The sequence below is a fragment of the Homo sapiens genome, chromosome 20 (assembly GCF_000001405.40).
Source record: "Homo sapiens chromosome 20, GRCh38.p14 Primary Assembly".
Classification (NCBI taxonomy): domain Eukaryota; kingdom Metazoa; phylum Chordata; class Mammalia; order Primates; family Hominidae; genus Homo; species Homo sapiens.
Genome location: NC_000020.11, coordinates 35,604,490 through 35,621,457, shown reverse-complemented (window position 1 = coordinate 35,621,457; position 16,968 = coordinate 35,604,490). Strand labels below are relative to the sequence as shown.

At 53.0% G+C, this 16,968-nt stretch overlaps 1 protein-coding gene and 1 pseudogene across 5 annotated transcripts in view, besides 6 other annotated features; one reads left to right on the top strand and one right to left on the bottom strand.

The window, feature by feature from the left end:
- Positions 1–363: 363 nt before the first annotated feature.
- Positions 364–5,629, bottom strand: SPAG4 (sperm associated antigen 4). Of its 4 annotated transcripts, none has more exons than NM_003116.3 (12): positions 5,151–5,629; positions 4,218–4,322; positions 3,872–3,938; positions 3,618–3,679; positions 3,328–3,371; positions 2,983–3,008; positions 2,738–2,846; positions 2,460–2,535; positions 2,148–2,263; positions 1,712–1,879; positions 685–774; positions 364–582 (listed from the first exon to the last, which is right to left on the bottom strand). In NM_003116.3, the coding sequence occupies exons 1-12, from the start codon at positions 5,452–5,454 to the stop codon at positions 436–438; spliced, it is 1,314 nt and encodes a 437-aa protein (NP_003107.1). In that variant the 5' UTR covers positions 5,455–5,629; the 3' UTR covers positions 364–435. The 4 variants fall into 4 exon arrangements, with proteins under 4 accessions (NP_003107.1, NP_001304860.1, XP_011527311.1 ...); NM_001317931.1 differs by having other exon boundaries at positions 5,170–5,574; XM_011529009.3 differs by having other exon boundaries at positions 5,283–5,491.
- Positions 1,886–2,115: an enhancer, noted in NCBI's record as "active region_17789". NCBI's record gives its function as "activates an Ori minimal core promoter by ATAC-STARR-seq in GM12878 lymphoblastoid cells {active_cell/tissue: GM12878}" and the evidence as "EXISTENCE:reporter gene assay evidence [ECO:0000049][PMID:35858748]".
- Positions 2,223–3,172: an enhancer, noted in NCBI's record as "H3K4me1 hESC enhancer chr20:34206208-34207157 (GRCh37/hg19 assembly coordinates)". NCBI's record gives its function as "activates a minimal SCP1, AML or CMV promoter by ChIP-STARR-seq in naive H9 embryonic stem cells {active_cell/tissue: H9 hESC(naive)}" and the evidence as "EXISTENCE:reporter gene assay evidence [ECO:0000049][PMID:30033119]".
- Positions 3,173–4,123: an enhancer, noted in NCBI's record as "H3K4me1 hESC enhancer chr20:34205257-34206207 (GRCh37/hg19 assembly coordinates)". NCBI's record gives its function as "activates a minimal SCP1, AML or CMV promoter by ChIP-STARR-seq in naive H9 embryonic stem cells {active_cell/tissue: H9 hESC(naive)}" and the evidence as "EXISTENCE:reporter gene assay evidence [ECO:0000049][PMID:30033119]".
- Positions 3,894–3,943: an enhancer, noted in NCBI's record as "active region_17788". NCBI's record gives its function as "activates an Ori minimal core promoter by ATAC-STARR-seq in GM12878 lymphoblastoid cells {active_cell/tissue: GM12878}" and the evidence as "EXISTENCE:reporter gene assay evidence [ECO:0000049][PMID:35858748]".
- Positions 4,154–4,423: an enhancer, noted in NCBI's record as "active region_17787". NCBI's record gives its function as "activates an Ori minimal core promoter by ATAC-STARR-seq in GM12878 lymphoblastoid cells {active_cell/tissue: GM12878}" and the evidence as "EXISTENCE:reporter gene assay evidence [ECO:0000049][PMID:35858748]".
- Positions 4,854–5,583: a silencer, noted in NCBI's record as "silent region_12861". NCBI's record gives its function as "represses an Ori minimal core promoter by ATAC-STARR-seq in GM12878 lymphoblastoid cells {active_cell/tissue: GM12878}" and the evidence as "EXISTENCE:reporter gene assay evidence [ECO:0000049][PMID:35858748]".
- The window catches only part of FER1L4 (fer-1 like family member 4 (pseudogene)), a 48,826-nt pseudogene continuing 45,753 nt past the window's right edge, over positions 13,896–16,968 (top strand). Inside the window, exons 1-5 of the transcript NR_119376.1 lie at positions 13,896–14,043; positions 14,302–14,357; positions 15,052–15,140; positions 15,237–15,336; positions 16,837–16,928. The product of NR_119376.1 is annotated as a fer-1 like family member 4 (pseudogene) (transcript). The remainder of the gene's footprint in view (positions 14,044–14,301; positions 14,358–15,051; positions 15,141–15,236; positions 15,337–16,836; positions 16,929–16,968) is intronic.

The following is a 16,968-nucleotide window of genomic DNA, read 5'->3' as shown; positions in this document are numbered from 1 at the left end:
AGGAGTTGGGGACTTTCCCACTGGGGCTGGGAATTGAGCACAAAGGTGGGTTCAGGCTGCCTGCAGCTCTGCAGTTAGAGGACTGGCTCTGGAGGAAGGTGGGCCTGGGTACTGCTCTGTCACTGCCTTTCACTAGCTGTGTGACATTGAACAAGTTTCCTGACCTGAGCAGCTTCCCTTTCTGGTTGTGAGAATGAAGTTAGGTAATGTGTGTAATGTCCACAGCACTGTTTCTTGTACGTGGTAGGCACTCCATAAACAGGAGCTGCTATTACGATCTTGATCAAGACTTCTCCAAGAAAAGAGGGTGCATTGGGAAGTCAGCCCCTCCATACTTAGATGCAACGGCAGCCAGAGCTCTCCCAACAGAGCCCCCGAAAGCACTGATCCAGTATCCTTCAGCAGAACTCAATTCTACTCCAAAAATCAGCATGTTTAATGGGGCCCCTGTGCACTGCCCTCTGCCCCCTCTGAGGTTCGCACACCGTGGGCACGGACTCGATACAAGCACGTGAAACGGGGGTGGCCCCAGTTGCTTAGAATCTGGATCTTCACCTTGGGAAAGGCAGCTGGGGGGTCATTCTGGGGAGACAAATGGATCATGCCAAGGGCTGCCCTCCTCCTGGATCATTCATCCCTCACTGCCCCACTCCCTTGGCACCTTCACCCTAGAGACAAACACACCTGCAGGTGGAAAGTCTGAATCTCCGATTTCTCAACATCGAAGGTGAATTTCCCCAAGGAAACTTCAGTTTCATCATAAACCTGGAGGCCCTGGTGGGTGAAGAATGAAAGGAGGAACTATGAGGGGGACAGGTGGGGCGGGGGGGGCGGGGAGAAGAAAACTTTGCTGAGGATCTTCTGTGTATTCAATAGCTATATGCATGTTCTCATGTATTTTTTGATGGTCGTACACTGTAATTCAGAATGTGGGCTCTAAGAAACCAGGTTTTATTTATTTATTTATTTTGAGACGGAGTGTTGCTCTGTCACCCAGGCTGGAGTGCAGTGGTGAGATCTTGGCTCACTGCAAGCTCCACCTCCCGGGAAGAAACCAGGTTTTAAATTTAATCCTGCCAACTGTTAGTTGTATTACCTTGGAAAAATAACTTCCCCTCTCTGAGCATTACTTTCTTCATCTTTAAAGGGGGAGATAACAGTACATCATAGGTTGTTATGTGGGTGCAAAGCAGGCACGGTGGCTCATGCCTGTAATCCTAGCATTTCAGAAGGCCGAGGAAGGCGGATCACTTGAGGTCAGGAGTTTGAGACCATCCTGGCCAACATGGTGAAACCCCATCTCTACTAAAAATACAAAAATTAGCCGAGCATGGTGGCGCACGCCTGTAATTCCAGCTACTCGGGAGGATGAGGCACAAGAATCGCTTGAATCCTAGAGGCTGAGGTTGCAGGTGAGCTGAGATGGCACCACTGCACTCCAGCAGCCTGGGTGACAAGAGCGAGACTGTCTCAAAAACAACAGCAAAATAAGAATGCCTGTAAACTGCTTGGCACGGAGTAAGTGCTTTGCAAGCAATAACTAATATCTGGATATGGTTATGACTATAACCTACAGCAGCTCTGAGAGGCAAATAGTAGTATCTTCATTTTATAGATGAGCAAGCGAAGACTCAGATAACGGCACCAGTTCTCAAGACTGCTTGGGCTCTCTAGGCAAAATCCCCCACCTCCTGACCTCGTCCGCACTCACAAAGACCGCGAAATCGCGGGGGGCGCTGTTGGCTCCTCCGGTGTGCTCCACGCTGGGCGGTGGATGCTGCAGAGTGATGTCGCTCAGCTGCACTCGGCCCGGCAGTTGGATCACCACCTGGCCTTGGTCGCCTTCAAAAGCCCAGCAATTCCCAGGGAACACGTGGGGCTGCAGGCGGGCGGAGGGACCATCGGAACCGTCGGACAGAGCGACTGCTGCCGCTCCCCAGCCCGGGCCTCAGCTCGACCCCATCCATCGACCCGCCCAGAGCTCCACCTCCAGCCCGCCCCAGTCCCCAGCAATGCCAGGTCTCTCCTTGAGTTAAACGCCATCCTCCACGCCCTCGGCTCAGCCAAGCTCCGCCTGTAGGGCGGGGTTTTGGTGCTTTTCCCAGCGTCCCGCCCGGGGTCCCATCCCGGGATGTTTCCAGACTCACCTCCAGGATAACCGTGGGCGGCCGTGCGTAGTTCCAGAAGCTGAAGCGATTCCAGAAGTAGGCAGTGTTCCTGTCTGCGTAATCGTGGGATGTCTTCTGCAGGTCGATGGAGGCTCCTGGAACAGTGAGAAGTAACCCTCAGAGGCTCCCAGGCCTTGCCGGGAGTCGGGGCGCGGGGGCGCGGGGGCTGGGGGCGGGTGGGGGCTGTCCGAGGCTCTGTCTTCGGCCGGTCAGGTGCATGGGTCTGTCTGTGTCAGTGTCTTGGCCTCTTTCCTGTCTGCGTCTCTGTCTTCCAGTGTCTCCGGGTCTTACCCACAGAGCTCAAAGCATAGTCGGGCTTCCGCACAAAATCCTCATTCAGCCTCTGGAACACGAGCTTGGCCACTCTCTGCAAGGAGGGAGGGCGAGGCCTGGAGGGGCGAGGCTTGCGGGCTGCTTTTACAGGTGGACGGGACCTCTGGGAGCTGGTTGCTTTGGGATGGACTTCGTGGGCACCGGGAGAAATCCCGCAGGGCTCTGGGCGGAGCTTAAGTCTCAGGACCCTGGGAGCAGGGATCCATCAGGGGTTTCCAAGGTGGGCCGGGGCTCACCTCGCTGTTGGCTGCCCGAACAGTGGACACCTCCTTGTGGAGTTTATCCAGCTCGGCCTGGAGCTGCTGCAGCTGCTGCCCCTGGGAGCGCACGCGCTCGTGGTACTCACTGGAGGTGGGAGGTGGGCGCCGTGGGGTTGGCTCCCTGTCCCCCTGGACACCTCCCAAAGGCCCCCACGCCTTCAAGGTTCTCAAAGAAGCAACTTTGAGCCCCCCAATTTCCCACCCTAGGTGCCCTCTTTCACCTTAGAGTCAGCATCTCCTTAGGTTCCTGTTGGATGAAGGGACAAAACACAGAGCCGCTCAGCTCCCGTCGTCCTTGCTCCTACCTCAGCCTGGAAACGGCCAGGGCTTCCTTTTTGAAGACTGTGTCCCCTTTCCTCGACTCCTCCTTGACCTCCCAGTATCAGAGCCCCCAAGAGACCCTCAAGCACAATCCCTCATAAGTCTGTTTATATCCAGCCCTTTCTTAAGGATTGTAGCCTCTGGCACTACCCCCACCCCAGCAGACCGACAGTCCAGGGGACCCCCACAATCTCCGGGTTCACAACCTGCCAACCCCCTACCCCAAGACAGTCTCCCCAACTCACATTCTCCAAAGGAGAGACCAGGTACAGAAGCCCCAGCCAGAATGCTGGAGAAAGAGAGGGAGGGGTCTCAGAAGGAAAAGGAAGAGAATGGGTTTCCCCGGCATAGGGGGACAGTGGAAAGAGGCTTGAGGGGGTTAAGCCTGGGGAGGACCGTGGGAGTCTGAGGGGGAATTAGGGGGTTCTGCAGGGGAATGCCAGGAGCTGCAGGACCGAGGATGTAGGAGAAAATGTGCTGGGTTTGCCTCCAAAGCACCCAGGGCAGGGGCTCCAGGGAATTCACTGCCCCTCACCTGACAGAAAGAGGCTCAGCAGCGACACAGCCGTGAACAGGAAGCGGATGGAACAGACCTCCCTGGGGAACCGGAGGGAGGCTGAGGCCCCGACCTGCTCAACCCTCCAGTCCCCACCCCAGGGTCCTAGACCCAGCTCTTGCCAACATGACTCAATCAGATCTGAATCGGCTCAAGCGCCAGCAAGGTTCCGGCCCTGCTCCCCACCCCCTCCAAAGAGCTGTTCCTGGGGCGCCAGCGTCCCTTCCTCTGACCTGTACATGCTGACCAGCACGTCTCCTGCCAGGGATAACAACACGCTCAGCCCCTGGAAGAGCAGGCCTGAGGCCAGGACAGAGGGTCAGAGAGGGGCCCACGGCAGGGAGAGGCGGGGCTCAGCCTGCGTGGTGTCCGGGTTCAGAAGGGGCTTGGGAGGGGCCGGGGGTGGGCCTGGGGCTCAGGAAGAGAGGGTCGGCTAGGATAATTGGATGGGGGCTAGGAATGAGTTGAGGCTCGGAGAGGGGCTCGATACTCAAACGGGGGCCGGGGGCTCAGAGAGAACTGGAGTTCGGAGAGGGGAACCCGAGGGTCAGAGGGGATCGCAGCTGGCCTGGCCCGTACTCAGAAAGCTCTTGAACACCCGCGGGGGAGGCATCTCCTGCCTCAGATCCAGGGTCGGGAGAAGGTCGAGCGGCTCCTCAGAGACTACTGGAGACCCAGTCGGTTCTGCGGGAACCCAAGGGCTCCACTGGGGCCTTGCGGACCACAGACCTATTTTCCCCTCGAGACCGGGCCGCAGATTGCTCAGTCCACAAGCCAGACAGCTGGGAAGTCTCTCACAGGCTTTGGTCCCACCGCAGCCCTATCCCGGCTCCAGCTCCGCCCTCTGAAGCCCCGCCCCTCAGGGAGGCTCCGTCAAGAGTTGGTCTCCTGGCCGGGCGCGGTGGCTCACGCCTGTAATCCCAGCGATTTGGGAGGCCGAGGCGGGCGGATCACCTGAGGTCGGGAGTTCGAGGCCAGCCTGATTAACACGGAGAAACCCCGTCTCTACTAAAAACACAAAAATTGGCCGGGCATGGTGGCGCACGCCTGTAATCCCAGCTACTCGGGAGGCTGAGGCGGGAGAATCGTTTGAACCCGGGAGGCGGAGGTTGCGGTGAGCCGAGATCATGCCATTGCATGGCATGGGCAACAGGAGCGAAACTCCGTTGCAAAAAAAAAAAAAAAAGAGTTGGTCCCTCCCCCAAACGGATGACCCGCCCCCAGCCTTAGATCTTGGTGGAACCCAATTGTCCTGGGAGCCACTCACGCTAACATTGAGGCCGCGCCCCCTCAGTGGCACCCAACCACAAGATTTTCCCCGCCCCTTCCCATAACCGTCCAGGACACCGAGGCTCCGCCCCTTAAGGGATCTCATTTAGCACCATCCCTTTACCCTACAGGACCCACCTTGTAGGAGGTGCCCAGATATCATCTTAGCCCCGTCCCCGCCCAGCACCGCCCTTTAGGCCCCGCCCCCTCCACTGGCTCACCCGGGGTCGACCCCGCCCGCACCCGAGGCCCCGCCCCTCACGGTTGCCGCGCCACAGGCTGTCTGCCAGTTGTGGCTCCGAGGCGCTGGCTTCTGCTGAGAGCTTCCTGCCCATGTGGTTCCTCCGGGCACTCCCGCGCTCAAGGCGGGCTCACCGCAGCTCGGGCCCCGGGCTCTTCTGCCCTCGGGCTCCCCAGGCCCGGGCTCCGCTGACCGGAGCCCTTTGCTGTCCTCCGAGGTGATGCTCATTGAGCTGTTCTCGCTGAAAAAGTTGGGCGTGTGCTTGCGCGAGGACGAGGCCGAGCCCGGGCGGGAGCTTCGCCGCATCCTGACCCCCTGCTGCCTAGTCACTGACGCTAAAGCCGCCGCTGCGGTCGCCAAGGCCCTGGGGCCTCCTTCAGCCGCTGCGCGCCGCGGGGACCCCACGGACCCTGCGTGAAGTCGGCAGGCCCCGCGGCCGCACCTGCCCTCCCGCTGTGTCCCGGCCGGCTGCTGACGTCACAGAGGAGCCTCGGTCTCCGCGGGCTGCCCTGGCCGCGCGTCACGGAGCTGGCCGTGACGTCACCTGGAGCCGTAGCCATGGCAGCCTCTCCTTCTGACTTTGTTGTTGTTTAAGAGACAGGGTCTTTCTCATTGCCCAGGCTGGAGTGCAGTGGCCTGATCATAGCTCATTGTAACTTCGAACTCCTAGGCTCAAGCGATCCTCCCGCCTCGGCCTCCCAAAGCGCTGGGAGTACAGGCGTCAGCCACCGCGCCCGGCCTCTTTTACAGCAAGCGATGATGTCACAGCACTTCCCAGAAAACCCCATCTAAAATGGCACTCAGTCTATAACAGTTTTTTTCTTTCTTTCTTTCTTTCTTTCTTTCTTTCTTTCTTTCTTTCTTTCTTTCTTTCTTTCTTTCTTTTTTTTTTTTTTTTGAGATGGAGTCTCATTCTGTTGCCCAGGCTGGAGTGCAATGGCGCGATCTTGGTCCACTGCAACCTCCGCCTCCCGGGTTCAAGCGATTCTCCCGCCTCAGCCTCCTGAGTGGCTGGGATTACAGACATGCACCACCATGCCTGGCTAATTTTGTATTTTTAGTAGAGACGGGGTTTCTCCATGTTAGTCAGGCTGGTCTTGAACTCCCGATCTCAGGTGATCCACCCGCCCCGGCCTCCTAAAGTGCTGGGATTACAGGCATGAGCCACTGCGCCCAGCATTTTTATTTTTATTTTATTTTTATTTTTTGAGACAGAGTCCTGCTGTGTCGCCCAGGCTGGAGGGCAGTAGTGCAATCTCGGCTCAGTGCAACCTCCGCCTCCCGGGTTCAAGCGATTCTCCTGCCTCAGCCTCCCGAGTAGTTGGGATTACAGACACCCGCCATCATGCCTGGCTAATTTTTGTATTTTTGTAGAGACGGGGTTTTACCATGTTGGCCAGGCTGGTCGTGAACTCCTGACCTCAGGTTATCCGCCTGCCTGGGGCTCCCAAAGTGCTGGGATTACAGGAGTCAGCTACTGCGCCTGGCCTCTTTTAAAGCAAGTGATGACGTCACAGCACTTCCTAGAAAACCCCATCTAAAATTGCACTTAGCAAATACCAGTTTCTATCCCCCTTCCCTGTTTTGTTTTTCTCCTCAGCACGTGTCACTAACATGCTATATATTTCATTTCTCTCTTTCTTTGAGATGGAGTCTCGCTCTGTTGCCCAGGCTGGAGTGCAGTGGCATGATCTCAGCTCACTGCAACCTCCATCTCCCGGCCTCAAGCAATCCTCCCGCCTCAGCCTCCCGAGTAGCTGGGACTACAGGCTTGCGCCACCACACCCAGCTAATTTTTGTATTTTTTGTAGAGATGGGGTCTCGCTATGTTGCCCAGGCTGGTCTTCAACTCCTGAGCTTGAGTGATCCACCCACTTCTGCCTCCCAAAGTGCTGGGATTACAGATGTGAGCCACCATGCCTGGCCCATTTATTTATTTCCTTATTGCCTGCCATGCCCACTAGAACATAAACTTAATCAGGGCACAGATTTTCATTCACTACTGTATCCTCCAGCACCTAGATAAGCCTAGCATGTAGTAGGTGCTCAAATATTTGCAAATAATGAATGTTAAGAAGGAGCAGGGCATCACTCAGGGCACTTCTAAATACTTAGTCCCCTTTGCTCTGCAAGCCCTTCAGCCCCCTCCTCTCATCCTAGACATCAGGTCAGAGAGCTCATTCAGGATCTGTGGGTCCCTCCTCCAGACCCATTTTTCCCAGGGGTCTGTGGGTTGAGAATTCAGCACCCACCAATCGTCATACCCACACTCAGGCTGCACACCTGAGCCATGGAGGAAAGAATGAGGAATCAGATGGTCACAGCCAGAAGACTAGAGGTCCCCAAACTCTTGCTATGTAACAGAATATCAGTGCAGCTTATAGAAATTCAGCTTCCCAGGCACACCTTGTGATTCTACTGCAGATACTGCAGAATTTCTGAGTTGGCCCAGGAATGTGCTTTTGTTTTGTTTTTGTTTATTTTTTAGGCAGAGTCTTGCTCTGTGGCCAGGCTGGAATACAATGGTACGATCTCGGCTCACTGCAACCTCTGCCTCCTGGGTTCAAGCAATTATCCCGCCTCAGCCTCCAAAATAGCTGGGATTACAGGCATGTGCCACCACACCTGGCTAACTTTTTTTTTTTTTGTATTTTTAGTAGAGACGGGATTGCACTATGTTGGCTAGGGTGGTCTCGAACTCGGGACCTCAGGTGATTCGCCCACCTCGGCCTCCCAAAGTGCTGGGATTACAGGTATGAGCCACTGTGCCCGGCTGGAGTGTGCATTTTTAACAACCACATTTGTGATCCTGGTTAAAGACCACATTTTGGGGCCAGGCTTGGTGGCTCACGCCTGCAATCCCAGCACTTTGAGAGGTTGAGGTGGGCGAATCACCTGATGTGAGGAGTTTGAGACCAGCCTGGCCAACATGGTGAAACCCCATCTCTACTAAAAATACAAAAATTAGCCGGGCGTGGTGGCCCGTGCCTGTAGTCCCAGCTACTTGGGAGGCTGAGGCGGGAGAATCACTTGATCCCAGAAGGCAGAGGTTGCGGTGAGCCAAGATTGTGCCACTGCACTCCAGCCTGAGCCACAGAGTGAGACTCTGTCTCAAAAAAAAAAAAAAGAAAAAAGAAAAACAACAACCACATTTTGAAAGACAATGCAGTATGTCATGCACAAGTTGCACAGCTAGGCAAACAGGTCCAGGTAGAGGAATAACACTGCATCACATTAGAATTCCCAAATCCTGCCCTCGAGTGCAGTCCTCTTAACTGCCATCTCACAACTTCCTTAGAATGTGAGGAGCTGGGGCCGGGCATGACGGCTCACGCCTGTACTCCCAGCACTGTGTGAGACCCAGGCAGTGGATCACTTGAGGTCAAGAGTTCAAGACCAACCTGGCCAATATGGTGAAACTCCATGTCTACTAAAAATACAAAAATTAGCTGGGTGTGGTGGCGTGTGCCTGTAGTTCCAACTACTTGGGAGGCTGAGGCAGAAGAATCGCTTGAACCTGGGAGGCGGAGGTCATAGTGAGCTGGGATCGCACCACTGCACTCCAGCCTGGGTGACAGAGCAAGACTTCGTCTCAAAACAAAACAAGAATGTTAGGAACTGGAAGTGGCAGTTTTTGAGGGGTTGAGGCACACGGACAATCTGTTAAGCTATGTTCTAGCCCAGAGGGGAGATGCCCATGCCAGGCTCCAGAGGGATGATCTCAATACCTTGCTTCATTAGGTGCCACAGGGCCCACACGGAAGAAGGGAGAGGAAGGCGAAATCACTGCAAACTACAAATTCTGGTCCATACCACCCCATCTCTGCCTCTGCCACGTTTTCTGTCCGTTAACTCCTTTGGGTCCTTTTAATAGAGGTGAGCCGGGCACAGTGGCTCACGCCTGTAATCCTAGCACTTTGGGAGGCTGAGGCGGGCTCACAAGATCAGGAGTTCATAGACCAGCCTGACCAACATGGTGAAACCCCGTCTCTGTACTAAAAATACAAAAATTAGCCAGGCGTGGTGGTGCACACCTGTCATCCCAACTACTGGGGAGGGTGAGTTAGGGAATTGGTTGAACCTAGGAAGCGGAAGTTGCAGTGAGCTGAGATCGCACCACTGTACTCCAGCCTGGGCAACAGAGTAAGACAGTCTTTTTTTTTTTTTTTTGAGACAGAGTCTTGCTCTGTCACCCAGGCTGGAGTGCAGTGGCACGATGTTGGCTCACTGCAAGCTCCGCCTCCCAGGTTCACACCATTCTCCTGCCTCAGCCTCCCGAGTAGCTAGGACTACAGGTGCCCACCACCAAGCCCAGCTAATTTTTTGTATTTTCAGTAGAGATGGGGTTTCACCATGTTAGCCAGGATGGTCTCGATCTCCTGACCTCTTGACCCGCCTTCCTCAGCCTCCCAAAGTGCTGGGATTACAGGCATGAGCCACTGTGCCTGGCTGACACTGTCTTAAAAAAAAAAAAAAGACTGTGGGGAGGTGAAGCCTTCCTCCAGCATCTGAGGGTTTCAGGTCTAATCTGGGCCTTTTTAAAAAACAGAACAGCCTGTCCCTCTTGTCTGATGTGGTTTAGACCCTCAAACTCATTTGAATACATAACAACTGGCCAGGTGCAGTGGCTCACTTCTGTAATCCCAGCACTTTGGGAGGCCTAGAAGGGCTGATCAGCTGAGGTCAGGAGTTCAAGACCAGCCTGGCCAACATGGTGAAACCCCATCTCTACTAAAAATAAAAACATTAGCCAGGTATGGTGGTGCACATCTATTAATCCCAGCTACTCAGGAGGCTGAGGCAGGATAATCGCTTGAACCCGGGAGGTGGAGGTTGCAGTGAGCCAAGATCACACCACTGCACTCCAACCTGGGTGACAGAGTGAGACTCCATCTCAAAACAACAACAATGGAGAAATAGGCAGAACAGGGCTTTCCAACCCAGTACTGAGATGGAAAAGCTGAAGCACAAGAAGGGACCATGACTGGCTCAAGGTCACACAGCAAGACCCAGCTCCTCTGACTGTCTAATCTTATCTGCTGCTGCTGCTGCCGCCGCCCAGTACATTCCTTGTGTTCAGGCCAAACTGTACACATTACATGGCCCAGAACACGTTCAGCATTTCTTCCCACTGCCTGGGTTTCTGTCTTTGCTCCTAGCTCCTGTCCTTTGAGCCAGGGGTTCCCAACCCCCAGGCCATGGACTGGTATCAGTCCATGGCCTGTTAGGAACCAGGATGCACAGCAGGAGGTGAGCAGTGGGTAAGGGAGCATCACCACCTGAGCTCCGCCTCCTGTCAGATCAGCAGCAGCATTAGATTCTCACAGGAGCGCGAGCCCTATTGGTAACCATGCATGTGAGGGATCTAGGTTGTGTGCTCCTTATGAGAATCTAATGCCTAATGATCTGAAGTGGAACAGTTTCATCTCCAAACCATCCTCTCCACCCGCCGCCCCTGCCCCCGACCCTGTCCATGGAAAAATTGTCTTCCACGAAACCGGTCCCTGGTCACTGGTGTCCAAAAAGGTTGGGGACTACTGCTCTAAGCCAATTTTCTTTTCTTTTGAGGTGGAGTCTCGCTCTGTTGGCCCAGGCTGGAATGCAATGGCCTGATCTTGCTTCACTGCAACTTCTGCCTCCCGGGTTCAAGTGATTCTCCTGCCCCAGCCTTCTGAGTAGCTGAGATTACAGGTGCACACCACCATGCCCGGCTAATTTTTCTGTTTTTAGTAGAGACGGGGTTTCACCATGTTGGCCAGGATGTCTTGAACTCTTGGCCTTGTGATCCACCTGCCTTGGCCTCCCAAAGTGCTGGGATTACAGCAGTGAGCCATCATGCCCGGCCGCTTTCTTTTCTTTTAAAAAAAAATTTTTTTTTTTTGAGACAGTGTTTTGCTTTATTAATAGCCTAGGCTGGAGTGGAGTGGCATGATTACAGTTTACTGCAGCCTCGACCTCCTGGGCTCAAGCAATCCTCCTGTCTTGGGCTCCCAACAGACATGAGCCACTGTGCTGAGCCTAAACCCATTTTTTATTTTTATTTTTATTTTTATTTTTTGAGACAGTGTCTCGCTCTGTCACTCAGGTTGGAGTGCAGTGGCACAATCTCGGCTCACTGCAAGCTCCGCCTCCCGGGAGCCTAAACCCATTTTAAACATTCCTTTTTTGGGGAAGCGCCTCTAGTCTCCCTCCTCTGAGCTCCTGGGCCCTGACCCTTTCTGCTCTCAGGGTAATTCCAGTCTTTCTAGGCTGTGTTAGTTATTGGAGTCATGAAGTTACTGGAAGACAGACACATGTGATTCCCCTCTCTCTGGCTGCACACCCTGCAGGGTGCCATAGCACAAGCCCTGCAAATAGAAGGTGCAGGACATGGTAGATCATGCCTGTAATCCCAGCACTTTGGGAGGCCAAGGAAGGAGGATTGCTAGAGCCCAGGAGACCGGCCTGGGCAACATAGTGAGACCCCACCTCTTAAAAAAACTAGCTGGTGTGATTGCATGAGCCTGTAGACCCAGCTACTAGGGAGGCTGAGTCAGGAATATCACTTAAGCCTGGGAAATTGAGGCTGTAGTGAGCTGTAATTGTGCCACTGCACTCCAGCCTGGGTGACAGAGCAAGACCCTTTCTGAAAAAAAAAAAATTTTATATATGTATATAATTAAAGGGCCTGGCTGTGAACTCCAGTGAATACATACTTTCACATATTATGGGTTCAGATTTCAAGATACATTCATGACTTCACTCAGCAAAAGTATTGTACATCTGTTTTAGGGTTATTAACCTAAGTGATGAGCTCTTAGTCCACAAAAGTGTACACATGCCCAATATTTTGCAGAAAATTTCAAAGATTTGCAGCCTCCATGGAGCCATTCTATGGTCCCACTAGGATCCTAGGACCCCAAGTTAAGGACACCTGGCTTCCAGCTGAATGCTTACTATGTTGCAAGCTAGGAACACACATTTAATCACTTTTTAATTCAATAAATGTGTTGAATGCCTACAGCACTACTTCTGAGGGCTAAGGGATTCATTTATTAGTTCATCCATTTGTTCAGTGTTTTAAGGGTCTACCATGTGCCAAACCCTGATCTGGGCACTGAGAACAGGAAGATGAACAAGAAACAACATGAGGCCAGGTGTAGTGGCTCACGTCTGTAATCCCAGCACTTTGAGAGTCCGAGGTGGGAGGACCACTTGAGGCCAGCAATTTGAGACCAGTTTGAGCAACATGGCAAAACCCCATCACTACAAAAAATACAAAAATTAGCCAGGCCCACTGGCACATGCCTGTAGTTCCAGCTACTTGGGAGGCTGAGCCTGGGAGATTGAGGCTGCAGTGAGCCTTGATTGCACCACTGAACTTCAGCCTAGGTAACTGAGTGAGACCCTGCCTTAAAAAAAGGAAAAAGAAAGAAAGGAAGGGGCTGGGCGTGGTGGCTCACTCCTGTAATCCCAGCACTTTGGGAGGCTGAGATGGGCAGATCACTGAAGGTCAGGAATTTGAGACCAGCCTGGCCAACATGGTGACACCCCGTCTCTACTTAAAAATGCAAAAATTAGCCAGGGCGCAATGAGTCATGCCTGTAATCCCAGGACTTTGGAAGGCCAAGGCAGGCGGATCACAAGGTCAGGAGTTTGAGACTAGCCTGGCCAATATGGTGAAACCCCGTCTCAACTAAAAAAATACAAAAAGTAGCCAGGCGTGGTGGCATATGCCTGTAATCCCAGCTACTTGGGAGGCTGAGGCAGGAGAATCGCTTGAACCCGGGATGCAGAGGTGGCCATGAGCCAAGATCACACCATTGCACTCTTGCCTGGGCGACAGAAGGAGACTCCATCTAAAAAAAAAAAAAAATTAGCCGGGCATGGTGGCGGGCACCTATAATCTCAGCTGTGTGGGAGGCTGAGGCAGGACTATTGCTTGAATCCGGGAGGCAGAGGTTGCAGTGAACCAAGATCACACCACTGCACTCCAGCCTGGGCGACAGAGTGAGACTTCATCTCAGGAAAAAAAAAAAAAAAAAAAAGAAAAGAAAGAAAGAAGGAAGAAAGTAAAAAAAATAAAAATAAAAGAGAGCGAGAGAGAGATAGAAAAGAGGAGAGGCCGGGCACAATGACTCATGCCCATAATCCCAGCACTTTGGGGGGCTGAGGTGGGCAGATCACCTGAGATCAGGAGTTTGAGACCAGCCTGGCCAACATGGCGAAACCCTGTCCGTACTAAAAATACAAACAATTAGCCAGCTGTGGTGGTGGACACCTGTAATTCCAGCTACCCGGGAGGCTGAGACAGGAGAACTGCTTGAACCCAGGAGGCAGAGGTTGCAGTGAGCTGAGATCGTGCCATTGCACTCCAGCCTGGATGACAGAGCAAGACCCCATCTCAAAAAAAACCAAAAAACAAAAAACAAAAAAACAAAGAAAAAAGAAACGAAAAGGCATGAGGTCCATGTCCTTGAGGCCTCATCGGCTGGCAGGGAGCAGACTGGGGTCCTGTTCACTCCCCTTGCCTCCCTCCCACCCTATCACAGCTCTCACTCCCTGAGGATGCAGGATGGAGGCTGAGGCAGTCCTGCCAGCTTGCAGCTGGTGGAGGCAGGGAGGGCTGAATTGACCTCCAGGACCTTACCCCTATCCCTCGGTCCTCTCCTCCCTCCCCACCCATGACCCCCAGGCCTGCTCCCTGTGTGTTTGACTAAAGGGTAGGGATTGCTAAACCTGCTGGGTGAGTCCAGTGAGTCAGAGGCGATTCAGGTGGGCGGGCTGGTGGGCAGAAGGGCAGACGGGCAGAGGAAGTGCCAGTGCCACTGGGACCATGGCTCTGACGGTAACGCGTGCAACGACTAACAGGGCTGACCGGCACCCACGACCGACAAGTGAAGCTCACCTTTCGAGGTGAGGCTTGCAGGGGCGCCCTAAGGATATTTGAAACTGGGGGCCCTTGACCCAATGCCTTCCCATCTCTACAGCCCATTTCTTTTCTCTACCCACACTGGTATCTCCAACCCTCTGCCTCTTTCCTTCCCATTGTCTACCTTTCTTTAAGGGTGAATCCAGGAGGGACTTGACACTGGGCCAAGAGTGGGGGAAGCAAATTATTTTTGTGTGTGTGGGGGGAGGGGCTGATATATGACTAGTTTCAGTTCTGAGCAGGCTTTACCCAGAAAACAAGAAAAATTCACTGTGGTCCAGAAGCAGATATCGGTGAGGTCAGTACAGTTGGTTCCTGATCTGTCTCCCATCCAAGTCCAACCTGGGGTTCAGGGGCTCATTCCTGGGTTTGGGGAAGTATAGTCTTGGGAGGTGGGGTCAGTCTGAGGCCTGAGAGATCAGACCCAGATTGGAACAAATTAGTTGCAAGACTGGGGGAATTCATTCTTGATCACTAGTTAGTCCCAGATCAGCCCTCACTCAGATTCAAACCCATGTGCAGGGATCCCTTCCAGGTTTGGGGATGTTAGTCCTAAAGTTAGCTCTAAGTCTGGAGGATTGGCTCCTGTCTGAGGGTTAGGAATAGGGTTTTTTTTTTTCTTTTTTTTTCTTTTTTTTTTGAGACAGGGCCTCACTCTGTCACTCAGGCTGGAGTGCAATGGCACAATCTCAGCTCACTGGAAACTTCACCTCCCAAGTTCAAGCGAGTCTCCTGCCTCAGCCTCCTGAGTAGCTGGGATTACAGACATGTACCACCACACCTGGCTAATTTTTGTATTTTTAGTAGAGAAGGGGTTTTACCATGTTGGTCAGGCTGGTCTTGAACTCCTGATCTCAAGTGATCTGCCTGCCTTGGCCTCCCAAGGTGCTGGGATTACAGGCGTGAGCCACTGTGCCCAGCCAAGAATGGGCTTTGGATTGGAGTTTAGGGTCAGCACAGCATGGGTGTCACAAGCTTCCTCCTGTCCCCAGCTGTTCCGATGGCCCCACTATGGGGCTCCACTGGCTGGGGAGTGTCTGTCTGTGCAGGTGGTCAACTGCAGCCGTGTATTCAGCCTTAGGTGAGTAGGCCTGGGGAGACAGGGATGCAGGTTGGGCTGGGGGTGACTTAGAGCCATTCTCTTGGGTCACTCTTTTGCTCTATGCCACTCCCCTAGGCCTCTAGGGACCCTGGTGATCTCCCTGCAGCAGCTACAGAATGCTGGGCATTTGGTGCTACGGGAAGCCCTAGTGGATGAGAATCTTCAAGTGTCCCCGGTGAGCCCCTCTGGCCCCCAGGCTGCCACCCTTAAGTACCTCTAGATAAAGGGTTCCATTTCTCACAGGGGAAAACCTAAGACCCAGAGAGGAGTGGTAACAAGGCCTCCAGCCAGGATTCCTTTCAGCAATCAATTCTTTTGGGAGACAAAGATGAACCTGGCTGGATTTTCCTGGTGTTTCATGGAAGGGCTCATAGCCTAGTAGACATGGACCTAACTTCAAATCTCAGATCTGCCATTTCCCGTCTGGGAACTTGTACACGTTCTTTAGCATTTGGTAGCTGTTTTCTTTTTTTGTTGTTGTTTTGAGACGGAATCTTGCTCTGTCACCCAGGCTGGAATGCAGTGGCTCAATCTCGGCTCAGTGCAACCTCCACCTCCCAGGTTTAAGTGATTCTCCTGCCTCAGCCTCCCAAGTAGCTGGGACTACAGGCGCCCGCCACCACACCCAGCTAATTTTTTTATTTTCAGGAGAAACTGGGTTTCACCATCTTGGCCAGGTTGGTCTCGAACTCCTAACCTTGTGATCTACCCTCGGCCTCCCAAAGTGCTGGGATTACAGGCATGAGCCACCGCACCTGGCCTGGAAGCTATTTTCTCATTTATATAATGTGGAGTTCTTTTGTTCAGTCCGTCATCATTTGTTGAGCTCTTATGATAAGCCAAATGCTGAGCTGAGCAATGAGGATTCCGTGGTGAGCAAAACCAGATAAAGATTCACACCCTTGGAAGGGAGGCAAACATTAAACAAATATTCACACAAGTAAGTGTGAAACTGGAACTGGCAGGTGTTAGAAGAAAGCTGGTAGGGGCTGGGAGAGGGTACCACAGGGGAGTATGATCTACTTGGGGGCCAGAGAAGGTTCCCTGAGGAAATAGTACCTGAACTTAGACTTGAAGGATAACAGATGTTAACTGGGAGGAGAGAATGTTCCAGGCAGAGGAAAAGGCATATGCAAAAGTCCAGCGCCTTGAAGGAGCACAGCTGGGGTGCCTGGAGTGAGATGGAGCTGGAAAGGTTGGTGGGGCCAGACCAGGCAGAGTAGTGAAGGCCACCGTAAGGGATTTCCAACAAAAATGAGACAATTTTGGAATCCTGTTGGGCCTCAAGAGGTAACTTGCGGCTGGGCACAATGGCTCATGCCTGTAATCCCAGCACTTTGGGAAGCTAAAGCAGAAGGATCATTTGAGCTCAGGAGCTCAAGACCAACCTGGGCAAGGTACATAATAAGACCTCATCAATACTAAAAAAAAAAAAAAAAAAAAAAAAAAAAAGAAAGAAAAAAATAACGAGGAAACTTGCCTAGTTACTTAGTTCTTAATAGGTTATGAGTAGTCTACATTATTAATGATCAGAGAGGAACCACAAGGCACCACGGATGCTGGCCAGAAAGATCTCTGCCGCCTGTAGTAAAAGGCACTGGCATTGTCCTTGGGCCTCTCTTAGACCCAGGGCAGTTAGATGGGGGGCCCTAGGGGATACTGTATCTGGTTTCAGATCCAGGTGGAGCTTGACCTGAAGTACCAGCCCCCAGAGGGCGCTACTGGAGCCTGGTCAGAGGAGGACTTTGGGGCACCCATCCAGGACAGGTAATCCCCTCAGCAACTGAAGCAAGACCTGGTGGTCCCA